Source organism: Homo sapiens, chromosome 16 (genome assembly GCF_000001405.40).
Source record: "Homo sapiens chromosome 16, GRCh38.p14 Primary Assembly".
NCBI classification, from domain to species: Eukaryota; Metazoa; Chordata; class Mammalia; order Primates; family Hominidae; genus Homo; species Homo sapiens.
The window spans coordinates 84,207,961-84,214,832 of NC_000016.10; the positions used below are offsets into that span (position 1 = coordinate 84,207,961).

The 6,872-nt window shown below is 48.7% G+C and overlaps 1 annotated feature.

Moving 5' to 3' along the window:
* Positions 6,371-6,872: an enhancer, noted in NCBI's record as "H3K4me1 hESC enhancer chr16:84247937-84248438 (GRCh37/hg19 assembly coordinates)". NCBI's record gives its function as "activates a minimal SCP1, AML or CMV promoter by ChIP-STARR-seq in primed H9 embryonic stem cells {active_cell/tissue: H9 hESC(primed)}" and the evidence as "EXISTENCE:reporter gene assay evidence [ECO:0000049][PMID:30033119]".

Here is a 6,872-nt window from a genome sequence, read left to right on the forward strand (position 1 = left end):
GGTTTGGGAGCACCTGGAGCCTCTGTGGGACGTGAGCTCTTTATCCATGACGTGCAGGGTCATGCTAGTCAGGGTGGACCAGCTGCTGGAGCAGACAGCCCACAGTTTCAGGGACTTACAACAGGTGTCGTCTTGCTCAGGCCACCTACCAGTGCAGGGGATCAGCAGCGGGGCTGCTGCCTCCCTCCTGCAGCCCTCCTCCCTTAGGGCAGGCCCACAGATGTTTCTGTAAAGGACCAGAGAGTAAAGATTTTCAGCTTGCAGCGCAGGCTGCAAGACTCTAAGTTGTGACTGCTCAGCTCAGCCAATGGAGCGCAAACACAGCCAGAGACAATACCCAAATGAAGAGCCTGGCTGTGTTTCAAGAAAGATGTATTTATAAAAACAGGTTGCAGATGGGAGGTAGTTTGCTGACCTCTGCCTTAGGGCTTTGGAGCATTTGGGGGGATCTTCTACATTGAGCTAAGGGGTGTGGAGGGGAGGAAGAGGGCAGAGGGTCATGCAAGAGATGTTTGCGGCCAGACCTGGCAGTGCCCTGTGCCCTTTCCACACACCCCACTGACCAGAACCCCTACCTGCAGGGAGGCTGGAACCGTGGCCCAGTGGTTGGGACAGAGGAAGAAGAACCAGGTATTGGCAAACCCATTGCAGTCTCTGCCACCAGGAAGGGAAGAGAACAGCCTCACAGTGTATAGCAGTTGATACAGTTTGGCTGTGTCCCCACCCAATTCTCATCTTGAATTATAGCTCCCATAATTCCCATGGGTTGTGGGAGGCACCTGGTGGGAGATAACTGAATCATGGGGGCAGTTTCCCTCATACTGTTCTCATGGTAGTGAGTAAGTCTCATGAGATCTGATGGTTTTATAAGGGGTTTCCCCTTGCGCTTGGTTCTCATTCTCTCTCTTGCCTGCTGCCACGTAAGACGTGCCTTTTGCTTTCCGCCATGATAGTGAGGCCTCCCCAGCCACGTGAAACTGTGAGTCCATTAAGCCTCTTTTTCTTTATAAATTACCCAGTCTCGGGTATGTCTTTATTGGCAATGTGAAAACGGGCTAATACAGCAGTGCAGTTTGATAACAAGAGGACAGGCCCTGGAACCAGCAAACATGGTTCGAAACCTGACTTTTCTCTTACTATCAGTGAAACATTTTGTGCCTCGATTTTCTCATTTGTAAAATGAGGGCCTCCCTTGAAGAGTTGCTTTGTGGATGAAATGAAATAACATGTGAAAGGTCTTGTGTTGGGGCTTTATGCATGGGAGACTCTCAGAGATTGGTCATTTTTTAAAAAGACTTTATAGGAGCAGTGTTAGGACCACAGCAAAACTGACAGGCAGGTATAGCGATTTCCCATATACCCCCATACCATGGTGGTACATTTGTCACAATCCATGAACCTACATTGATATATCATTGTTACCCAGAGATTGGGTTCACTCCTGGTGTTGTACCTTCTATGGGTTTGGATAAATACCTACAGACATGGACCCACCATTATAGTGTCCTCCAGAGCAGTTCCACTGCCTAAAACCCTCTGTGCTCTGCCTATGCATCCTTCCTCCTACCAACCCCTGGCAACGCTGACCTTTTGTTTTTTTGAGACAGAGTCTCGCTCACTGCATCCTCCGCCTCCCAGGTTCAAGAGATCCTCCTGCCTCAGCCTCCTTAGTAGCTGGGGTTACAGGCGCACACCACGCCCAGCTAATTTTTTGTATTTTTAGTAGAGACGGGGTTTCACCACGTTGGCCAGGCTGGTGTTAAACTCCTGACCTCAGGTGATCCACCTGCCTTGGCCTCCCAAAGCTGGGATTATAGGCATGAGCCACTGTGCCCGGCCCAACACTGACCTTTTTACTGTTGCCATAGTTTTGCCTTTTCCAGAATGCCCTGTAGTTGGAATCGTATAGTAGGTAGCCTTTTCAGAATGGCTTCTTTCACTTGGTAAAACACATTTGTCAAAATAATTAATTGTGAGGCCACTAGGCCGAGTCAGCTCCAGCGCTTGGGGTTCCTACATAAACAAACCAAACCCTGACTCAATGGAAACAGTAAAGTGAAACTTAGGCCTAACTAATCAGAAACCACCAATTAGGCTCTAACTGGAGATTTTACCAATCAGATGCCTCCAAGTAACCTCTAACTAAGGACTTTCCACTTTAGCCAATCAAATATTTTCTTTGTTTTGCTTCTGTGAACATCTCTAAAAAAGTTTCCTACCCACAGCGCCCCCTGGGCAGAGCCCTGAGCCACCTGGGGTCTGAAACTGCCTGATTCCTGAATCATTGTCTCCTCAAATACACACATGAAAATTTTAACGTGCCCAAGTTTATCTTTTAACACATTTTTGTTTCCTCCATATCTTCTCAGGCTTGATAGCTTATTTCTTTTTATTGCTGAGTAATATTCCACTGTCTGGATGTGCCACAGTTTTTAAATCCATCACTGACCGAAGGACATCCTTCCGACCGAAGGGATCCTTGTTCCCAAGTCTGGCAATTACGAAGAAAGCTGCTATAAACATCTGAACATCTGCGTGCAACCTTTAGTGTGGATAGAAGTTTTCAATGCCTTTGGGCTGGTGGCTTTTTTTTTTTTTTTTTTTTTTTTTTGAGACAGTCTCAGTCTCTCACCCAGGCTGGGGTGCAGTGGCGGGATCTCGGCTCACTGCAACCTCTGTCTCCCAGATTCAAGCGATTCTTCTGCCTCAGCCTCCTGAGCTGGGATTACAGGTGTGCACTACCATGCCTGGCTAATTTTTCTATTTGTAGTGGAGATGGGTTTCACCATGTTAGCCAGGCTGGTCTTGAACTCCTGACCTCAGGTGATCCACCTGCCTGCTGGGATTAGGCATGAGCCACCACGACTGGCCAATCTTAACATCATTTTTGTAGCGAGAGACAGAACCCCAAAGAGCCTGCTGGGGAGTACAGGTGGATGAGGTGGGGGGTTCCGAAAGGGAGTAGGAAGTAGAGGTTAAGAGTGGGGAGTGTGGAGCCAGACAGGCTGGGTTTGAATCCTGAATCCATCACTGACAGCCAGGTGACCTTGGGATAGTTACCTAAACTGCCTGTGTCTGTTTCTTCATCTGTAAAGTGGGGATAATAGTACCTTCCTCAGACGGGTGCTGGTAGGATTAAGTGATGCTTGTGAAGCCATGAGACAGGGCCCAACATGCCGCCAGCGCTCCACAGATTCTGTGATCATCACCCCGGGTTGCTGCCCTGCTCGTTTTCCTCTCTTTTGGGACAATGTCTTGATTTTCCACTGGGAAACTTCACCTTCTCCATTTCTCTCCTTTTTTTTTTTTTTTTTTTTTTTTTTTGAGACAGAGTCTCGCTCTGTCACCTGGACTGGAGTGCAGTGGTGCAATCTCAGCTCACTGCAACCTCTGCCTCCCAGATTCAAGTGATTCTCCCACCTCAGCCTCCCAAGTAGCTGGGATTACAGGCGTGAACCACCAAGCCTGGCTAATTTTTGTATTTTTAGTACAATCGGAGTTTTACCATGTTGGCCAGGCTGGTCTCGAACTCCTGACCTCAGGGGATCCGCCCACCGCAGCCTCCCAAAGTGATGGGATTACAGGTGTGAGCCACCGCCCCCAGCCTCACCCTCTCCATCCTTAACCACAGGGTTTAGGTGGGATTCAACCTGTTTCCTGCTCCAGGGTGAACGCTGACTCCCAGAAATCAATCAGTGTAGCAACAGTGGTTGGTTCAAGGATGTATTCGTAACCCACTGCAGAACCAATAAGGCCGAAATCACATGCTTGGAATTCTTGGAAAGAGAGACTTTCTCTTCCCAGAAGTCTTTGTGGAGTGAGATTGTGAGACTTGGAGCTTGTGCAGTCATCTTGTGGCCATGAGGAGAAACTGGGGGTGAAGCTGACACACCCAGGGAGGCAGGGGAAAGATGCAAATCTAAGCTCGCTTGTTTGACATTGATGACATTGGCTGAACTCCTGGATTAAACCACACCTGAACTCCCATGTGGATGTTCAGTTACAAGAGCCAATAATTCTTTTGTTGTTTGTTCATTTGTTTGTTTAATGAAGTCTGAATAGAGTTTCTTCAACTTGGAAACGAATCATTCCTAAGTGATATTTACAGGTGTATTTTAGAAAGAAAGTTCTTAGAGCTATTACCCTTGGACGTCGGAATGGGAGTCTTGTATGAGAGTGAAATTTACTTTTGTGCCACAAGCCCTTGGCATTTCTCCTGTGTATTCTGTCTCCCAGAGTCCCCACAGGAGCTTGAACTGTAGTTGCGCATGTGGTCTACAGGGTTGATCACACCCCTTGTGTCCTGACTGCCTTCCTCGCCCTGTTGACACAGTTTGGCTATGTTCCCACCCAAATCGTATCTTGAATTATAGTCCCCATAATCCCTATGTGTTGTGGGAGGGACCTGGTGGGAGGTAATTGAATCATGGGGGTAGTTACCCTCATGCTATTCTCATGATAGTGAGTGAGTTCTCACCAGATCTGATGGTTTTATAAGAGGCTTTTCCCCCTGTTGCTTGGCACTTCTCCTTGCTGCCTCCATGTGAAGAACGATGTGTTTGCTTCCCCTTCTGCTATGATTGTAAGTTTCCTGAGGCTTCCCCAGCCATGCTGAACTGTGAGTCAATTAAACCTCTTTCCTTTATAAATTACCCAGTCTCAGGTATGTCTTCATTAGCAGGTATGTCTCATGTGAGAACAGACTACTGCACCTGGCTCAGTTCCCTCTCCCCTACTAGTGTTTCCCGGGATCATCTTCAGGTGAAATGCCTGCACTCAAATCCTTGCCCCAGGGTCTGCCTCTTGGGGAACCCCAAGATCTGGGAGAACCAAGAAGCACCTCCTCAGGAGCCTGTGCGAATGTGGCAATCCTGTGCCCCCACAAATGATGACTCTGCCTAATCACTTGGCCTCCTTTCTTCCTAGGACTTGTCACTAGTCATGCTTGTCTTTTTTTTTTTTTTTTTTGAGACAGAGTCTCGCCCTGTCACCCAGGCTAGAGTGCAATGGTGTGATCTCAGCTTACTGCAACCTCCACCTCCTGGGCTCAAGAAGCGATTCTCCTGCCTCAGCCTCCCAAGTAGCTGGGATTACAGGTGCATGCCACTATGCCCAGCTAATTTTTGCATCTTTAGTAGAGACGGGGTTTCACCATGTTGGCCAGGCTGGTCTCGAACTCCTGACCTCATGATCCGTCCTCGACCTTCCAAAGTGCTGGGATTACAGGCGTGAACCACTGTGCCTGGCTGCTTGTCTTGTTTATTGCCTTTTTTAAAATAAAAAAAATGATTTTTAAAAATAGAGATGAGTCTTGCTATGTTGCCCAGGTGGGTCTCCAACTCCTGGGCTAAAGTGATCCTCCTGCCTCGGCCTCCTAAAGTGCTTACAGGTATGAGTCACTGCATCCAGCCATTGCCTTCTTTATGTATTTGTGCCCTGCCTTCCTACCTCCCTTCCATCTGCCACCCGAGGTCCACACAGGCATCTGTCTTGCTCACTATGGTCTCCAAAGTGTGAGAATATCTGGCGCATGGTGGGTACTTAAGAGATACTACCCCAGAAACCAACCATTGCCCCACCAACCTTTTTTTTTTGTTTGAGACAAGGTCTCTTTCTGTCGTCCAGATTGGAGTGCAGTGGCATGATCACAGCTCACTACAGCTTCAAACTCCTGGGCTCAAGTGATCCTCCCACCTCAGTCTCTTGAGTAGCTAGGACTATGACAAGGAGGCCACAGGGCCTGCAGGTACAGCTGGGCACCACTATGCCCAGCTAATTAGAAATAACTTTTTTTTTTTGTAGAGGGGGGTCTCGCTGTGTTGCCCAGGCTGGTCTCAAACTCCTGGGCCCAGGTGATCCTCCTGCCTTGGCCTCCTGAAGTGCTGGGATTATAGGGATTATAGGCCCAACTTTTTTATTTTTATTTTTATTTTTTTGAGACAGGGTCTTGCTCTGTCACCAGGCTGGAGTGCAGTGGCGTGATCTCGGCTCACTGCAACTTCCACCTCCCGGGTTCAAGTAATTCTCCTGCCTCCGCCTCCTGAGTAGCTGGGACTACAGGCATGCACCACTATGCTCAGTTAATTTTTTTTTGTATTTTTAGTAGAGACAGAGTTTTACCACGTTGGCCCGGATGGTCTTGATCTCCTTACCTCGTGATCCGCCCGCCTCGGCCTCCCAAAGTGCTGGGATTACAGGCGTGAGCCACTGTGCTCGGCCTATAGGCCCAACTTTTGACTCAAGTCTTGGTGGTGGGTTGAGGTGAGTGATACCTGGCCCCTGCCACCCCCTTTCTAGGAAGAATCTCTCACATCCTCAAGGTCAACCCCAGCAGGCCTCATGAGTGGCCCCACCTCAGTACACCAGAGATGCCACAGCATCACTTCTTAATATCGTTTAATGTTTCTCTGAGATTTGCAGGGAGGTGGGGGCCCTGAATGCTTAGTTAGGAAGGTGCAAGGTGAAGCTCTGAACTTCCCAAAGGGGATCTTATTTCAGGCTGGTCATTGGCCAAGTACAATGGAAGCCTTTGGAAGCGGCAAGATTGGCTAATTTTAGCTCAGGGCACCTGAATTCATTCCAATTCACGTCACATGGACCCCAGTGTTCCCCTCGGCTTTGTTCCCCTTATGGCAAAGGTGAGTTACGAAAGTCGTGCAGCAGCTGAGTCACTGACTCCATGGCTCTCCACGTGTCATCTAGAAGTAGGCTGCCGTGGAGGCAGGGCTGTGCTCTGCTCAACTCAGCAAAGTCCGCCTCAGAACGGACAGCTGTGGATGACAAGGAGGCCATAGGGCCCGTGGGGACAGCGGCTTCCCTTTGCTTTATTTTTAACCAACATTAGATTCCTGGAGGTACCCCTTGCTTAGACG